Raw genomic sequence first — 17541 nt, 5'->3', positions numbered from 1 at the left:
ATTCCTAGAGCTTGAGAAAGTTCCATTTAGGATAAATAAAAGGAAGTAAGTAAGACTTCTCACAGCAGCTACTAAATTTGGAGCACTTATTCCAAAAGGTTAAAAATATAGCTTCAAAAAAGACATCTTTGATACATGAACAACTGAACATTAATAGATCACTTTGTGAATCATAGACTTTGGGGTATTTTTAGGTTGGGGTATGGGAATCCATCCAGACATTCCTTGAAGGGCCTCTGGTGCTTCATTAGATCCAGTGCTGGTCTTAGCCAAGAGATCAGTTCAGGAAATCCTTATTTTTTTTCCTGTAGAGTGATGTGAAGGCCCAGTGAAGAATTGTCATCTTTGTGTTTACCTCCTCACTGTCACTCTGAAATGCTTGAATGCACTACCTGTTCTTTCTCTTGCTTGTGCACAGGTTGGGCAGATGCAGATTCTGAGACAACAGATTGCCAATGAATTAAATTATTCTTGTCGGTTTGATTCTAAACATCTGGCAGCTGCTCTGGAGAATCTCAATAAGTAAGTGCCAGGGTTTGAAACAGCCATCCGTGGGCTTGGATTGTTTATTATCTACGCACCCCAGTTTCTTCAGTTCTTACTCTTTTAAGTTATTTTTGGGTGGAAGGTCTGAATTTACAGGCTTCCTTGCCACGGATAATCAAATCTGTCTTCGGAGCCTCTTTCCTCAGTATTGTCCCTCCGTTTATCTCTGTCTCTCACTCACTCTCTCTAATGGATTCGTGTATTCAGCAGACAGGTACTGATCACATGATTCAATACATGTCTGCTGAACAAATGAATTCATTAGAGAGAGCGAGTGAGAGACACACCAGACACTGCTAGATACTTGCACAGATTTTAGAAAGCAATTATTACCAAAATCCGCAACTGGCTTTTTACAGGGCTGATCACTCATCATCCAGAGGGCAGTTGGAAGTGTGTTGATTACCAAGAGTGGTTATGGAGGCCTGTCCTAGAGGGAACTCATATCCTCCGCCTCACCAGCAACCTGCTGTCATTTGAGGCTGCCTACTTACAGATAAATAATCTGTGCTTCTCACTCACCAAGTCAGTGCTTTTGACAAAGCAGGTATTAAGAACAGTTCAGTCAATACATGAAAATTTGAATGGTGAATGCATTTGATTGAGGTTGATTCCAAAAGATGAAGTAATTCTAGGTCAAATTTTCCACTTAAAACCAATCACAGGCATGGTTGAGAATTAGCGAGATCAAGCTCTCATTTTACAGATGAGGAAACTGAGGCTTGAAAAGATTACATCACTGCCCTATATTAACTCTTGTATAAATTCATTTACTCACTAATGTTTATCTCCAGGGTTTTTCTTCCTTTAGGGCTCTCCTAGCAGACATTGAAGCCCACTATCAGGACCCTTCACTTCCTTACCCCAAAGAAGATAACACACTTTTATATGAAATCACAGCCTATCTGGAGGCAGCTGGCATTCACAACCCACTGAATAAGGTGAGTAATTAAAATATATAATGGCGGGGATGGGGGTACAGAATGGTATTTGGCCCAGGTAACAGATTACTGTGCAGAAATACCAGAGGAACCTGGGTTCAGACCCCAGAGCCTTCATTCCATTCAGTTCCCTGCCCTTTCTAAGCAATCATCACACTTTCCCCGCCTGGCTCAGGTCTGTGAGAATCAAGTGCTATAGCGCTGGTGAAAGCTCATGACAAAGGGGAAGGTGCTGCCTCCGTGTAAGAGATTAGTTTTGGGTTTCACTGGGGTTTGCCGTTCAGTCATCAAGGCCCAACAAACCCAAAATGGTAGCATTGATCTGTCTTGCCAAAGGTGCTTCCCCTTGTGGCTGACAGTAATCCCACTCATCATAGAAGCTACAAACTCTTCCCTGCAGTTGTGAGCTCAGAAAACCTCTAAGAACTGAAAGTTTTTTCATAACTCGGTGCCAGATCTCTTTGCATGGCAAAATCTGTCCTGAGCTGACATAAGGCTGTTTATACTAGTTATTTATCCTCCTTACTGTAAACATTCATATATTTTGATGCAGACTTTGATTATAGTAACTTTGATTATAGTGCATTACGCCAGCCCCTATATTATCTTTCTAAATCTGTAAAATTTGAAATTCTGAAAGCTGTATTATCCCTTGTGTTTTGGATAAAAGATTATAAACCTGAATAGTAGCTAATGTCTTGAATATTTACTGCATAACAAGTGCACTGTCTTAACCCTGATTGTGGATTATCTCACTTCATCTCACAACAAGCCCTATGAAATACGCCATTATGAGTTGAGGAACCCGAGGCTCAGAGAGGCCAGCTAGCAAGTGGAGGAGCCAGGCAGTCTGACCAGAGCCCCTGCTTCTGACCCGTGTGCTACCCTGTCTCCTATGGAATCGGCCAGCTGGCAGTCTGGACCTGGCCATGTACGCCCTGACTGTAGTTTCTGCCGTGACATCTGGGAGACTGCTCTGTGACATTGCCTAGGGGACAGCAAATGACAAGAAGAACTTTGCTCTCTTTCTACTTAGATACCACCACTCGCTGCTACATGGATCTTTTCCCTTCACTCTCCCTCCTCCTCTCCTTCTTCCCTCTTTCCCTCTCTCTCTCTTCTCTCTCCCACACTCCCCCTATATTCACCTCCAGCTCTTCCTCAACTGCTCTTCATTTTGCCTTCCCCTCCCATTCTTGCTCATCACTCATTCCTCCCTCCCTTTATTAATGACATTAACAGGATTCAGGGGAAAAGTCTTTCTAAGCAAAATTGTTTTCTTCCCAGAAGGGCAAATTATGATACAGGTATTTATGTGGCCAGGGCCAGGTGTGTTAAATAAAACTCTGAAGGCAGCAAATTAATGGAACCATCCACATTTCAGGAAAGCCAAAGAGCAAATTGAAGTAAAATGGAAGATTTTCATTTGGAAACCTGTTCTGTGGTATTGTGCAATGTGATTTAACCATCTATTTTTCTTACCTTTCTCTTTCCAGATATACATAACAACAAAGCGCTTACCCTATTTTCCAATTGTAAACTTTCTATTTTTGATCGCTCAGTTGCCAAAACTTCAATACAACAAAAATCTGGGTACGTATAACATTTATTATTTGCAATGAGTAACAATACCAACAGATTAACATTTAACTAAATAGCTTTTTGTATAGAATGCCTATGTCGGATATGAGATCTTTTCTTAGTTAAATTTATGTTTATGAAATTCGAGTCTTTATGCCTTTGAAATACAATGCCTTTTTATGAACTGTAGACAGTGGGTTTATTCTTATTTTTATTTATTTATTTATTTATTTTTGAGATGGAGTTTTGTTCTTATTGCCCAGGCTGGAGCGCGATGGCGTGGTCTCAGCTCACTGCAGTCTCTGCCTCGCAGGTTCAAGCGATTCTCCTGCCTCAGCCTCCCAGGTAGCTGGGATTACAGGCACGTACTACCACGCCCATCTAATATTTTTGTATTTTTAGTAGAGACAGAGTTTTCACCATGTTAACCAGGCTGGTCTCGAACTCCTGACCTCAGGTGATCCGCCCACCTTGGCCTCCCTAAGTGCTGGGATTACAGGTATGAGCCACCACACCTGGCCGGATTTATTTTTTTTTTAAGTACACTTATTTATTTATTTTATTTTATTTATTTTTTGAGACAAGGTCTCACTCAGTCACTCAGATGGGAGTACAGTGGCACAATCTCAGCTCACTATGGCCTTGACCTCTCGTGCTCAAGAATCCTTCCACCTCAGCCTCCTGAGTAGCTGGGACTATAGGTGCACACCGCCATGCCCAGCTAATTTTTTTGTATTTTTTGTAGCAACAGGGTTTTGCCATGTTGCCGAGACTGGTTTCAAACTCCTAGGCTCAAGCGATCCACCTGCCTCGGCAACTAAAGGGCTGAGATTACAGGCGTGAGCCATTGTGCCCAGCCCTAGACAGTGGATTTAAAATCAACAAAGTATGGTCTACCTCAGTAAGGGTTCATTGTCCAGCTTGTAGAATGTGAGGGACCTTTGTTTTGATTCTCTTCTTTAATGTTTAGGCAGCTAATTGTGGTGTGAAAGAAACTTTTTTTGGTTGATGTTCTGTTCTTTCAACAGGATGCATGTGCCAGCTGTGTATCTGGAACCATGATGGGAAAAGTAACAATATAGTTAAGGAGATAAGACTAATATTTATACATGAACATTTAATACTTTATGTATGATTGTATGTCAGAATATTCTGTACAAACAAGAGACACCAAAGCCTTTCAATATGTCTGTTCTCTCCAGGAATATAACCCTAATTTATTTTTGTCATTCGTCAGAATATTTTTGTAGTTACATAATAGATAACAAAGTGTTTCCTCTGCCTTCAAACTTTGTATCCAGCTAAATGACATTTTTAAAAATCCACTATAGACTTTAGTTTACTTTAAAAGCATTATAAGAGCATTTCTACAAATGTAATCATTGTTTCTTAACTAGAGATTCCTAAATATATTTCTTCCTTACAGTACTTTCCTATTTCATAAGCTTTTTTAGGGTGAAAATGTGGAATCTCTTTAATGTTTTTATTCTCTCATTCAAAAGTAATCATTGATTCTAGACACTGCTTCCATGACAATGCCTGTGATTGTCACAGAAGGCAGAGCATGATCTCCTCAAACAATACTTGCTGTAGGAGGGAGGGAACCAATGTGTGTTTGGAATCTGGCTTCACCACTTATCACCTATGTGACTTTGGCCAAGTCACCGCAAACTGAGTGCCCAACAGGTGCTGAGTCCCTTTCTATATATTGGTCAAAATCAATTTAAAGGGCCATCCCAAGTGTAATGTAAAGGTTCATCTGAAGATTCAGAGATTCATGTTCTCTCTCTGTTCTATGTTATTATTCAATAGGAATATATGATTCTTGATAATGAACTGTCAGTGCAGAAAGAACCTTCTTTTCATTAAAGAATAACTTTTTGTTGACTTCTCATTCTAATTTTTTTTTCATTGTGTATATGATTAGGGCCTGGCACCTTGATTGTAAAGCTGCTTATGGAAAGTATCACTCTCCCTGGAATTCCCAGATCTTAAAACATAACACAACAAAATCTTTATGTATCCTAGAAATGTGGTGTTTATAACTGACTATAATTCTTCTCATCAATAAGACTGATGTGTTAATGCAGGAACTAAATTACAGTAGGACTGAGGAAGGAACAATTGTTTGGTATCTTTGTGGGTATTCAGTTGCTCATATAAGGGTGAGACTATCTCTAGACTATTCTGTTCCATTGATGTGTTTGTCTTTTCTTATGCCAATAATGTCTTGATTATTGAAACTGTAAAGAGAGCCTTGAAACTGTATATCCGAAAAACATTTATTTAACCTTGTAAACACCGTTCTCAGCATTGGCCTATGAAATGCATACCTGGCTTGGTCTGTGTTTGAAGAAAGAAGCTTCGTGGTGTAGTGCTAGTTGTAGAAGTGTTTGTTGTTAACATCACTCTTGCTTTCCACCTGGAAAGGATTATTTCTCCATACTGAGTCCTGTTAGGATTCTTCCTCCATGTTCTGAATTGCCAAGGCCTAGGTTAGGTTATTCAGGATCACTTGTTTAGGCTTCTCTGGTTTGGGGAAGATTTTCCGGTCTTCACAAGAAGTCAAATATGGGACCTGAGGGTCTGTCTAACCAGTTAACTTGATAAGAAACTGCCAACCCTTTGTCCAAAGTGGTTGTGCCAGTTACACTCTCACCAAGAGTGAGTATATGTGTAGTCCACATCCTCGCCATTATTTGGTGGCGTCAGTCATTTTCATTTTAGCCATTCTTTTTTTTTTTCTGAAACAGAGTCTCACTCTGTCACCCAGGCTGAAGTGCAGTAGCGTAATCTCGGCCCACTGCAACCTCCACCTCCTGGGTTCAAGCAGTTCTGCCTCGGCCACCTGAGTAGCTGGAATTACAGGCTACAAGCATGCATCACCATGCTCGGGTAATTTTTGTATTGTTAGTAGAGACAGGTTTCACCATGTTGGCCAGGCTGGTCTCGAACTCCTGACCTCAAGTGTTCCACCCACCTTGGCCTCCCAAAGTGCCAAGATTACAGGCATAAGCCACTGAACCCAGCCCATTTTAGCCATCCTGATGGGTATCTATGGTATCTTGTTGCAGCTTTAATTTGCCTCCCTGATGATTAATGATTTTGAGCACTTTTTCATGTGCTTATTGGCCATTCCTTATATCCTTCTCTGCGAAGTGCCTGTTCTAGTCTTATGCTCGTTTTTAAATTTTTTTTTTATTACAGAGTTGTAGTAGTTATGTATATATTATGGATACAAGTTCCTTATTAGATATGTTTTGAGAATATTGTGACTTATCTATGTATTTTTTTACTGGTAACTTTAATGAGCAGAAGTTTTTACTGTTGATGGTGTCCAGTTTATCCATTTTTTTCCTTTATAATTATTCTTTTTTGTCTTGTCTAAGAAATCTCTGCCAGGCCAGGCACAGTGGCCCATGCCTGTAATCCCAGCATTTTGGGAGGCTGAGACGAGAGGATCACCTGAGGTCAGGAGTTTGAGACCAGCCTGGTCAACATAGTGAAACCCGTCTCTACTAAAAACACAAAAATTAGCCAGACGTGGTGGCACACGCCTGTAATCCCAGCTACTTGGGAGGCTGAGGCAGGAGAATCGCTAGAACCTGGGAGGCAGAGGTTGCAGTGAGCCGAGATTGTGCCACTGCCCTCCAGCCTAGGTGACATAGTGAGCTCCGTCTCAAAAAAAAAAAAAAGAAATCTCTGCCTTCTTCAAGGTCACAAAGATATCTTCGATATTTTTTCTTACAGTTCTGTAGTCTTTGCTTTTACATTGAGGCCAGTGGTTCATCTCTAATTGTTTTTTGTGTACAGTATGAGATAGGGGTCAAGGTTTGTCGTTCCCCCATAAGACTATCCAGTTTCAGTACCATTTGTTAAAAGATTTATCTTTTTTTATTATTTGGTATATTTGTGACTATTCAATTACTCATAGAAGGGTGGGACTATCTCTAGACTCTATTCTGTTCCATTGATCTATTTGTCTGTTCTTATGCCATAGTGTCTTAATTATTGAAACTGTATAGAGAGCTTGAAATCAGGCAACCTAAACCTTCCCAACACTGTTCTTTTTCAACATTGTGTTTCTTCTGGAAGACCCTAATCTCTGTCTCTGGTTTCCCATGCAGCCACCCAGGCAGAGGTCAGGGTCTCCACATTTTGGCAGAAATCTTTAGTGTAGAGCCAGGTGCAGTGGTACACACCTATAGTCCCAGCTTGAGCCCTGGAATTCAAGGCTATAATGTGCTGTGATTGCACCTGCGAATAGCCACTGCACTCCAGCCTGGGCAACATAGCAAGACCCCATCTCCAATTTTTAAAAAATCGTTAGTGTAAAGGCCAGCTTTGATACTCATTCACTTCATAAATATCCTTCTTCCACTCTCTTGATTTCTGCAGATTCTTTATGTATATATATTACTCAACATTTGTTTAAAGATACCCTAAAAGTATTTTATCCAGCTTTTCACTTAAGATAGTAGTTCAGGGTATCTAGTATGTCATGCTGCCGTTAACAGAAGTCAGTTGTAGTGATTTTTTTTCTCATTTACATTTATCTGTATCTTTAAAAATTGCTACAATAATATATGTTAATTGAGTAATTCAAAAGAACCAGTAATGATAATTACAAAATTTAGTAACCGTTTTATTGGTTTTGAATCCTTCAGACCCCTGGAATGCCCTACCAATCCTGTGGCTAATTCAAAATATGGCCCAGAATTGTCATTCCCTCCAAAATATCATCTGCCAGCGAGAATATGGGCCCCAAACATTTTGACCTTCACAGCGTTGGTATTTAATGAATGTTGCTGAAGGCAAGTACTTCATATGGTGTTGCAACTTGTTCCCTTGCAGGAATGGTCTGCCGAAAACCGACCGACCCGGTTGATTGGCCACCACTTGTCCTGGGACTGCTCACTCTGCTGAAGCAGTTCCATTCCCGGTACACCGAGCAGTTCCTGGCGCTGATTGGCCAGTTTATCTGCTCCACGGTGGAGCAGTGTACAAGGTACAGAAGACCAACCAGGACTACGTGGGACTTCTTGTCACAAAACCTAACTTAAACCTCACATTACCAAATTCCTCTTATCGCCCTAATAGAGATGGGAAATGGTTGCTCACCCTTCTCTGTAAAGCAAGTCAGGGCATACCTCCTTGTTTAGAGCAATTACAGGTGTGTCCATCCTTAGTCACCCTGCCAGGGGAACTCCATCCGGTCTACTCACATTGATTTTCCAGGAGTGACTCAGGACCATGAATAGTAACTACCATGGGGAAGAAAGTGCAGCCCTGTTCCTCTGCACTCTTGGATGCAGCTCTTCAATCTCAGCGAGCCCCTGCACTCCTGCTGGGCCACTGCCAAGAGATGATTCCACTCACTTCAGTGGGAGTCAGAGAACATATCAGTGTGTCAAAGCCTGGGCAGTGTCTGCATGTAGAGAAGCAAATTTCACAAGAGTTGCTATTTGATACAATGCTTATAAAACTTTAATTCCTGCCAGTTCTTTTCCCCTGCCCCTAAATGTGGCTTTTCTGGGATAAAGAAAAAAAAGTTATTTCCATGAGATGCTGGGTCCTGTGCCTCCTTCTCTGCTATCCTAAAGGGTCAGCCTGGCTACATAACCTTTGCTGTCATGTTTGCTTGGTCATTTTTGCCACTATAATGTAAAAAACGAATCAAAGCGGCTGGGCACAGTGGCTCAAGCCTGTAATCCCAACACTTTGGGTAGATTACTTGAGGTCAGGAGTTCAGGACCAGCCTGGCCAACATGGTGAAACCCCATCTCTACTAAAAAAACACAAAAATTAACCACATGTAGTGGTGGCCACCTGTAATCCCAGCTACTCAGGAGGCTGAGGCAGGAGGATTGCTTGAACCCAGGAGGCCTCAGAGGTGCAGTGAGCTGAGATCATGCCACTGCACTCCAGCCTGGGTGACAGAGCGAGACTCCATCTCAAAAAAAATAAAACGAACCAAAGTGATCTTCTAAGTCCACACAAAATACTACTAAGTCCTAAAACTGGAAATGATTTTCGAGGTCATTTAATTGACCTCCCACTAAGTGCATGAATGAGCTCTAGGACATCCTTGACAGGTAGTCATGCAGCCACTGCTGGAACACTCTCACCGAGGGGGCTTGTGCTACCTCTCCAGGCAGCACAGTCCACTGGCTAAGTCTTGTTCTCATTAGAAAGTTCCTGATTGTGATTATTAGAACCTGTGTCTCTGGATGTTTCACTCGCTGAGCTTTTTCCTACCTTTTGAAATCATACAGAATAATGCAGTCTCCCTCCTTTGCAACATCACTTCCGATTTTGTATGCCATCTGTTGTCTTAGGTCTTCTCAATGTTTAGATAAGCCCCTTCCACCTGTTCCCGATGTCTTGCAGTTTAGAGGCTGCTCACCATAGTGAGTGACTTTTTCTGGGTGTTCCAGTCTGTTTTTGACCATCTTAAAATGTGGCTTCCCAAACTTGTATTGAGATTCCAAGCACAGCCCTCCCCTTGGCACAGAGGAGTATTACACGTCTTCATTCTGGGCCCTCTGTGGACAGTACAGCAGCTACAATTGCAGTGATGAGTCCTTTTTTTTTTTTTTTTTTTTTTTTTTATGAGAAAGAGTCGCTCTGTCGCCCAGGTTGGAGTGCAGTGGCGTGATCTCGGCTTTGCAGTGATGGGTTTCTTGACATCCAGTGCATACCAGTGGCTCCTACTGATTTTGCATTCTTTCTAAACCCCAATGTCGTTATTTCCCGTGAGCTGCAGTCAGGCCAGCTCCTCCTCCTCTTAGTTAATGAATCGAACAACAAACACTGGTGTTTTCCTGGGATAGATGTTAAGACTTGCTTCAGAAACAAGATTTTTTAACAATTGAAAAATAGAGGAGAACTCAAAGTCTCAAAAATGAAATTGTAACAATCACGAAGTGAGGTCAGTTGGCAAGGAAAGCAGTAGGCTCATAAAAACCCAGCGCCTCTGGCCCAGGCTCCCAGAGAGGAGGGGAAGGACTCCAGTTCAGGTGGTGCGGAGGTGATTAGCAAGTAACCTCCACACAACTGGCTGTCCCAATTGTAGCTCCCTAGCTGTCAACTTGGACAGGTTCTTCTTCCTCTCTTTCTTTTTCACTAATGGCAGTAAAGGCTTAAGTGTGGCTCTAGTCCAGCATGTTATTGGCAACCCTGAGGGTGGTGATCAGGCTACAGGAGACCAGCTGTAAGTCAGGCTTTCTGATTCAGCAGAGCAAAGGAATCTAAGGAACCTGTGACGCATGGGAATTCCTTCCTTTCTCTTGCTCCAAGCAGAGCAAATATAGCCCTGGTCACAGATTGAAAGATTGAGAGCAGGGAGAATTTTTCCAGGTACAGTCATTCTTAACCCATTCAAAAAGCAAAGTTCATCAGCGAAATTAACCAGTAATGTATTAATAGTACTAAAAGTTATTTGTTAATCAGAAAATGCCAATTGGTACAGGAATTGGAAATCGTTTTAACACCTAAAAACTCCTTTTGATGTAAACAAGAAGGAACGTTAGCTCTATAAGGAGCCTGGCATGTACTTTGCTGTATTCCCAGCTCTGGAACAGTGCTTGGCACTGTAGTTGCTGAATGAATGAATACATGAGTAAAATCCCATATGAAAAATTGCTAGATGCTGTATTTATTTGATACCGTCAAATATGCAGTACATGCCAAGCACATTTCCAGATGCTGGAGAAACAAAGATGAACATATGACCTAGGCCCTCGAGGAGTTTATACTCCTGATGGGAACCCAGCACACCATTGAAAAATTAAGAGGCTTGGAGAATGCTGCTAACTATTATGACAGCCCAGGAGAATCAGGGAGGATTCCACAGGAGAAGTACCCAAGCTGAGACTCGAACAATGTCTAGAAGTTTACTTTCAAATCAGTGTGCAGGCCAGGTGCGGTGGCTCACGCCTGTAATCCCAACACTTTGGGAGGCCAGGGCGGGTGGATCACCTGAGGTCAGGAGTTCAAGACCAGCCTGGCCAACATGGTGAAACCCCGTCTCTACTAAAAATACAAAAAATTAGCCAGGCATGCTGGCGTGCATCTGTAATCCCAGCCAGTCGGGAGGCTGAGGCTGGAGAATCACTTGAACCCGGGAGGCGGAGGTTGCAGTGAGCCGAGATCATACCACTGCACTCCAGCCTGGCTACAAGAGTGAAAAGTCTGTCGCAAAAAAAAAAAAAAAAAAGTGTGCAGGGATGGGAAAGTATGGGACCTGCTAGGTATTGAATCATGTAAACAGAGGGAGATGAGTCTGGATAGATAGCAGGGATCGTGTTGTAAACGCCCATGGAAACCGTATAGAGAAGCTCACATTTACCCTATGGGGTGGGCTCCTGAAAATACATGAGCAAGGTAACAACTTGACAGGAATTAAGAGCATGCTCAATGTTTTTGTTCATCTTTGACTTCATTAGGTAATCTGTTGGTAATTTAGTCTTTCAGGATTCTGACCAAAAGGGCTTATGATGTGCAAAGCAGTTAATTGATCTAAACTGTTCTCTATCACAGCCAGAAGATACCTGAAATTCCTGCAGATGTTGTGGGTGCCCTTCTGTTCCTGGAGGATTATGTTCGGTACACAAAGCTACCCAGGAGGGTAAGTGATAGATAGTAAAGAACAATATTAATAGTTGTAAAAAGATGCTAATAATAGTGGCCCTGGATTCATCAGGAGTGAAGCCCAATAGGTCGTTCACAGTAGATGCCTCTGCGCCTCTCGCCACTGCTCTACCCCCAGCTCTGAAATGTCCTTGCCTTTTCCACCATGGGAATTGCCTTGCAGAGTTTAACACAATGCCCCTCCCGCCTCTTCTTCCTCTCCACCATGTACTCCTGTCAGCAACTCATCTGGTTCAGGAGTTAAGTGAAATAGGCAAGCCAGGAGGGATTCCTTAAGTGGCCAGAGGAAAGAAATAATCATGGTGGTTTGTTCTTTCTCTCTCCACTGACCTGGTTCCCACAGCAAGCACAGTTAAGTTCATGCCACAACTAAATGTATATATGAGCACTGTTTCCAAAAATGGCAGACTACTTTTTACCTGCCAAGACATTCTTTCCTATCCCTTTCTCATTAGTAATTCCACTTTGTTAAATTTTAGCTCAAAGTGGAGAGCTTGATACTGAAAAATACAACTTTCAGCAGATACTGAAAATCATTTGATTTTTAGAAATTAGTAGGTTAGGAATCAAAGATACTTTCTTACAACATGAGCCAAAGATGAACTTTTAAAATTAACTAGCAATGTCAGTACATAATAGTGAAATGTTAGTGGCATTCCCATTAAAGCCAGGACTGTCACAGTGTCATGACAACTATACAGACTCTTGCAACTACTTTTGTTATACAGGTGCAAGACAATAAGAAATGAAATGAAAATAAAATGCATATTGGAAAGAAGACAAACTCTGTATTATTTGAGATTAATTGTCTTCCTTTTTTATTCTATTTTTCCATAAGTTATTGGGATACAGGTGGTATTTGGTTACATGAGTAAGTTCTTTAGTGGTGATTTGTGAGATTTTGATGCACCCATCACCTGAGCAGTATACACTGCACCATATTTGTAGTATTTTATCCTCACTCCCCTCCCATTCTTCCCTCCAAGTCCCCAAAGTCCATTGTATAATTCTTATGCCTTTGCGTCCTCATAGCTTAGCTCCCACATATCAGTAGGAATATACGATGTTTGGTTTTCCATTCCTGAGTTACTTCACTTGTAAGAATAATCTCCAGTCTCATCCGGGTCACTGCAAATGCTGTTAATTCATTCTTTTTTATGGCTGCGTAGCATTCCATCGTATGTATATATCACAATTTCTTTATCCACTCATTGATTGATGGACACTTAGGTTGGTTCCACGATTTTGCAATTGTAAATTGTACTGCTGTAAACATGCATGTGCAGGTATCTTTTTTGAATAATGACTTCTTTTCCTCTGGGTAGTTACCCAGTAGTGGGATTGCTGCATAACTGTCTTCCTTGAATACCCAATAGAATCATGTGAAAAACTATCAAAATAATACAGAGATCAGAAAACAAGCTGGCTACAGAATAAATGTATGAAATACATCAATCGATTAAAAAATACAGTGTGAAAAAGGACCTATTCACAGAAATAACAAGGCAATGATATAGCTAAGAATAACCTCTATAAGAAATATGAAAGAACACTTTATTAAAAAACTATAAAAATTTTAAATATAAAATTTGAAAGTCCATGTTTCTGAATGAGGGTCCTCGAATATTACAGAGATAATAGTTCTATCTAGTTTATAGGTTTACTGCAGTTACAATCAAGATTTCAGGTACTTTTTTAACTTCAAAGAATATATTTTTTAAAATGTCATAGGACTTAGGCAAGTCCTTTTTTAAAAAAAAGATATTAAAATATTATATCAAGTATTAAAACACTGTAAAACTGTAGAAACCAAAATAGGGTGCTACTGGTATGCAACTAAATAGAAGGAACAATGAGCAAGAATATGTAGCCTAGAAACACACCCTGTGCATACAATGGTACATAAGGAAAAGTAGCATCTCAAATTAAGAGAGAAAGGGAATATTAGTCAATAGATGTAAGTTCACACAGTTAAAAAAATAGCAACTTAGTCCCCTTTACATCTCCTATGTTATCAAAATTAATTACAGATAAAGGGTTAGTGTGAAATATGAAACAAATAAATTAGCCGAAATTTTAGGCAAATATGTATCAGCTCTCAGAAATTCCTAAGTATAAAACCAAAAGAAGAAACTATAAAGAAAAAGATTTAGAGACTTGATTTTTTATAAATGCTGAATGTAATTAATTCTGTGTCAGTGTCTCAGTTAAAAAACAAAAGACAAAAGAGGAAATACCAACAAAGGACTAGTTTCTTGATTTATAGTGTGCTCTTCAAATCTTCAAGTTCAGTATGAAAAAGATGTCCAAGCCAATAGAAAAAAAGCAGGGGAAGGGCAAAGGAAATTAAGAGGCAGTTTTCAAGAAAATAGAAATGACAAACCTTCGGATTCAAGGGACAAAAATCCAAATACGAAAATTACTGTTTCCACTTATCAGGTTGGTGAAAGGTAAAATGTTGGGCCCCCATTATTCGGAAGCATTTGGAGAAATGGGACTTGTAAGTGCTATTAATTGGAATGTAAATTGACAGCCTTTGAGGAGGGCAATTTAGCTTTATCTATTTTAAAAAAACATTTGTAATATACTTACCCTGATCCCAGCAATTCCACTGCTAGGAATTTTACCTGCTGGATATATGTGCAAAGGTTTACCAAGATATGTGCCCAAGGATGTTCATAATATAAGATTTAGCAGAGGTAGAGAAGGACACAATATTATGTGATCCTAATTTTGATTGTGTGTGTGTGTGTGTGTGTGTGTCTGTCTGCATATGTAAGTAAACTGGAAAAATTCATTACAAAAGTTGCCAGTTTTTATTTTCTTTAAGGGATTAAGATTAAAAAAATATTTTTTTAAATTTTAAGCTCTGGGCTACACGTGCAGAATGTGCAGGTTTGTTACATAGGTATTATACATGTGCCATCTGTCGCCAGGCTGGAGTGCAGTAGTGAGATCTGGGCTCACTACAGCCTCCGCCTCCCTGGTTCAAGTGATTCTCCTGCCTCAGCCTCCTGAGTAGCTGTGATTACAGATGCGTACCACCACGCCCTGCTGATTTTTTTATTTTCAGTAGAGATGGGATTTCTCCATGTTAGTCAGGCTGGTCTTGAACTCCTGACCTCATGATCCACCCACCTCAGCCTCCCAAAGTGCCAGGATTACAGGCGTGAGCCACCACGCCCAGCCTAGGTTTTAAGCCTCACATGTATTAGGTATTTATACTAATGCTCTCCCTCCCCTTGCCCTCCACCCACTGTAAAAATAATTTTTATACTCTTCTGCATTTGCTAAATTTCCTCTCATTAGCAGGTTATACCTTTATGATCAGAAAAAAAATTAAACACTGCTTCTAAAAAATACTCATCTCCAGCACTTGGAGATCACCTACCTCTACATTCTACCCAACTGAGCCCAATTTAGTCTTCTCAGGGCTTTGCCCAAGAACAGTTCAGGAATGCATGCCTCTGAAGGCCTTCCTGCTCTTCCCCTTCTGGCCTTGGTATCTCATTCTCATTCCTGCCCTCCCCTACCTCTCCAACCCCATCACTTGCCAGCCATCCTGTTCTTCCTTGTTGGTCATCAGTTAATGAAGTGTATTAGGTGACCTGAGTACTTGTCAGTACTTCCCAGAGGCAAGAACATTCCTCGCAGATCAAGGTACCTTTAAGAGCCAAGAAGCTCAGATTTGGAGGCGGGAGAGCTGTACTGCATCCCCTCAAATGTTAGCAGTGCCAAGAAATGAGACGCTAGTCTAGGGGGCACCACAAGCAGAAAGGGGCTGTTTCAAGGAGTCGTCCGCCCATGGGAGTCTCCTCTTCTATTATTCACCTTGCTCCAAGGATATCTTTTCTTTTACGTATGAAAATTTTGTAATTGTTCAACTATAACACCATGAATAATTTAATTCTTTAATTTTTCAGGTTGCTGAAGCACATGTGCCTAATTTCATTTTTGATGAGTTCAGAACAGTGCTGTAACTGTTTTTCCTACTTCTTCAATGGAAGGATTGTCCTTAGATCTTCCCACCATCACAAATGAATTTGAAGATGAAAAGAAACTCAGTTGCTCATACAACTGCATTTTTTCTGTCTATTATGGGAAACATCAGACGTTCTGAGTAAGATATATCTCATGGCATTAGTTAATATAACTGATATTGTTTAAATCATGGTATTACATGCAATTTATATCAGATAAAAGCAGAACACATTTTTGTACTGCCTCTCTTAAATGCTGAATGTAACTGTTATGTATAAATCCATTTAGTTTTATGTTCTAAAGAACTATTTGTGCAACTCCAGATTTTCAGTAAAATAGTATTACTAGTACCCAAAGTCGTCTCGCTTATGATTCAAAAACTGTGTATTCACCCTGTAAAAAACCCTGTTTGGAATAAGAGATGACTCTGCTAGGTATAATAGCTCACCCCCAACAAGCTGGCAGGCACGTGGTGATAGCCAGACTAGTAGCAAATGTAGTGGCCACACAATCTGTGTCATGTGCCATTGAAGTTTCTTGGTGTCTCATCATCCTCTTCCAATCCCACATGCCCTAGGGGGTCCACAGCATTCCTTCTGTAGGACTCCTTAACAAAGCTGCTCCTTCCGGTATCTTCCTCAGCAACCTGAGTCCTGCCCCAAGTCCCCACAACCGTATCATTATCCAGAGTCCTTTTTGGTAATAGCCTTCCCATAAGCTTAACTCCCTCGAAATCCTAAATCATTTCTGCATGAAAATTACCCTGAAAAGGAAGCTGCCACTATTAGTCTGTTCTCACACTGCTATGAAGAAATATGGGTGGGGACACAGAGCCACACCATATCACTGCCATCCTACTGTGGCAACTTGGGTATCAACAACTTGGATGAGAGCAAGAAAGATGTTTCCACCCTAAATCTCTATGGTTATGTCCTTCTCTGGAGAGGAAGGAACAAACCAAACCAAACCCAGAAGCCAAAATCTGTTTGACAGTCATTTTGCTAGTGGTGGGGGAAGATGTACTGATTTGCAATCAGGAGGGTAAGTTTGAGTCCTGGTTCTGCCACAAGCTACACCTTGTCCCAAGCCAGCCTACTGGCATCATCTGTAAAATTAGGACTAAAGGATTTCTCAGGTTCCTTCGGTTTTCTCATTTTATTTCTTTTGTCAGAAGGCCTCAAATTCTGATATTGAAGGGAAGAAAAGACTTTACAGGCTTTGATTATTTCACTATCATAGTAGAAAGGACTTTAAAGGAGTCTCAGTGGCGAACAAGGGTAACCTCGAATCCTGGCCATGAGGGCACCGAGGCCAGGGCAGAATTTTAAGAGAACTGTTGCTTGGTACGTAGGGAGCTTGGAAGTCTCACCCCCTGCAAAGACGGTGTGTGGGAACATCTATATCTCAACGATAGCGTGTTATTTTTCATTTGTAATCTTGTTAACAATAACCACATGAAGTGAGATCTTTGTTCTCGAAAAAGAAAGCTAACTAACTGCTAAGAAGGCCAGATCTGGGAAAGTGAGTTTTTAACCAGAAAATAGAAGTTTAGGGTCAGTTAGATGGGAATCTTACGAAACCAAGCAAATGGGTCCACCATATGCTCTACTAAAACAAGGCAGTGATGTTTGAAACTGATTTTGCTAGTGATTTGGCCAGTGAAGAATTTTTTTCAACTGAAAAAACTTAAAAATTGAAATTTTTATTGTAAAAGCTTTGTAAGTTATATTTTAGCCCTGTTAGAATCTCAAGTAGTAACTTCATTTGCCAGGTTATATTTTACTGCTCTTTCAGAAGTAACAATTTACTTTCATGGTATTTGGAGATTTACTGAACTTTT

The 17541-nt window shown here is 40.7% G+C and overlaps 1 protein-coding gene across 5 annotated transcripts in view, besides 1 other annotated feature; it reads left to right on the top strand.

The window, feature by feature from the left end:
• WASHC5 (WASH complex subunit 5) overlaps positions 1-16057 on the top strand; it is a 67533-nt gene extending 51476 nt beyond the window's left edge. For 3 of the 5 annotated variants that reach the window (NM_001330609.2, NM_014846.4, XM_047422502.1), the window contains 6 exons: positions 419-522; positions 1358-1487; positions 2984-3080; positions 7923-8076; positions 11610-11697; positions 15644-16057. In NM_001330609.2, the coding sequence (NP_001317538.1) occupies positions 419-522; positions 1358-1487; positions 2984-3080; positions 7923-8076; positions 11610-11697; positions 15644-15700 (630 nt within the window). In that variant the 3' untranslated portion in view covers positions 15701-16057. Of the gene's footprint in view, positions 1-418; positions 523-1357; positions 1488-2983; positions 3081-4096; positions 4956-7922; positions 8077-11609; positions 11698-15643 lie in introns of those variants that run through there. The other 2 variants (XM_011517409.2, XM_047422503.1) reach the window with 1 other exon arrangement.
• Positions 7524-8723: an enhancer, noted in NCBI's record as "P300/CBP strongly-dependent group 1 enhancer chr8:126043836-126045035 (GRCh37/hg19 assembly coordinates)". NCBI's record gives its function as "activates an origin of replication core promoter dependent on BRD2, BRD4, P300/CBP, MED14 and CDK7 cofactors, with strong dependence on P300/CBP, by STARR-seq in HCT116 cells {active_cell/tissue: HCT116}" and the evidence as "EXISTENCE:reporter gene assay evidence [ECO:0000049][PMID:35650434]".

This window comes from Homo sapiens, chromosome 8 (genome assembly GCF_000001405.40).
Source record: "Homo sapiens chromosome 8, GRCh38.p14 Primary Assembly".
In the NCBI taxonomy this organism is placed as follows: domain Eukaryota; kingdom Metazoa; phylum Chordata; class Mammalia; order Primates; family Hominidae; genus Homo; species Homo sapiens.
The sequence above is the reverse complement of the archived record's forward strand: the minus strand, read 5'-3'. Positions and strand labels throughout refer to the sequence as shown.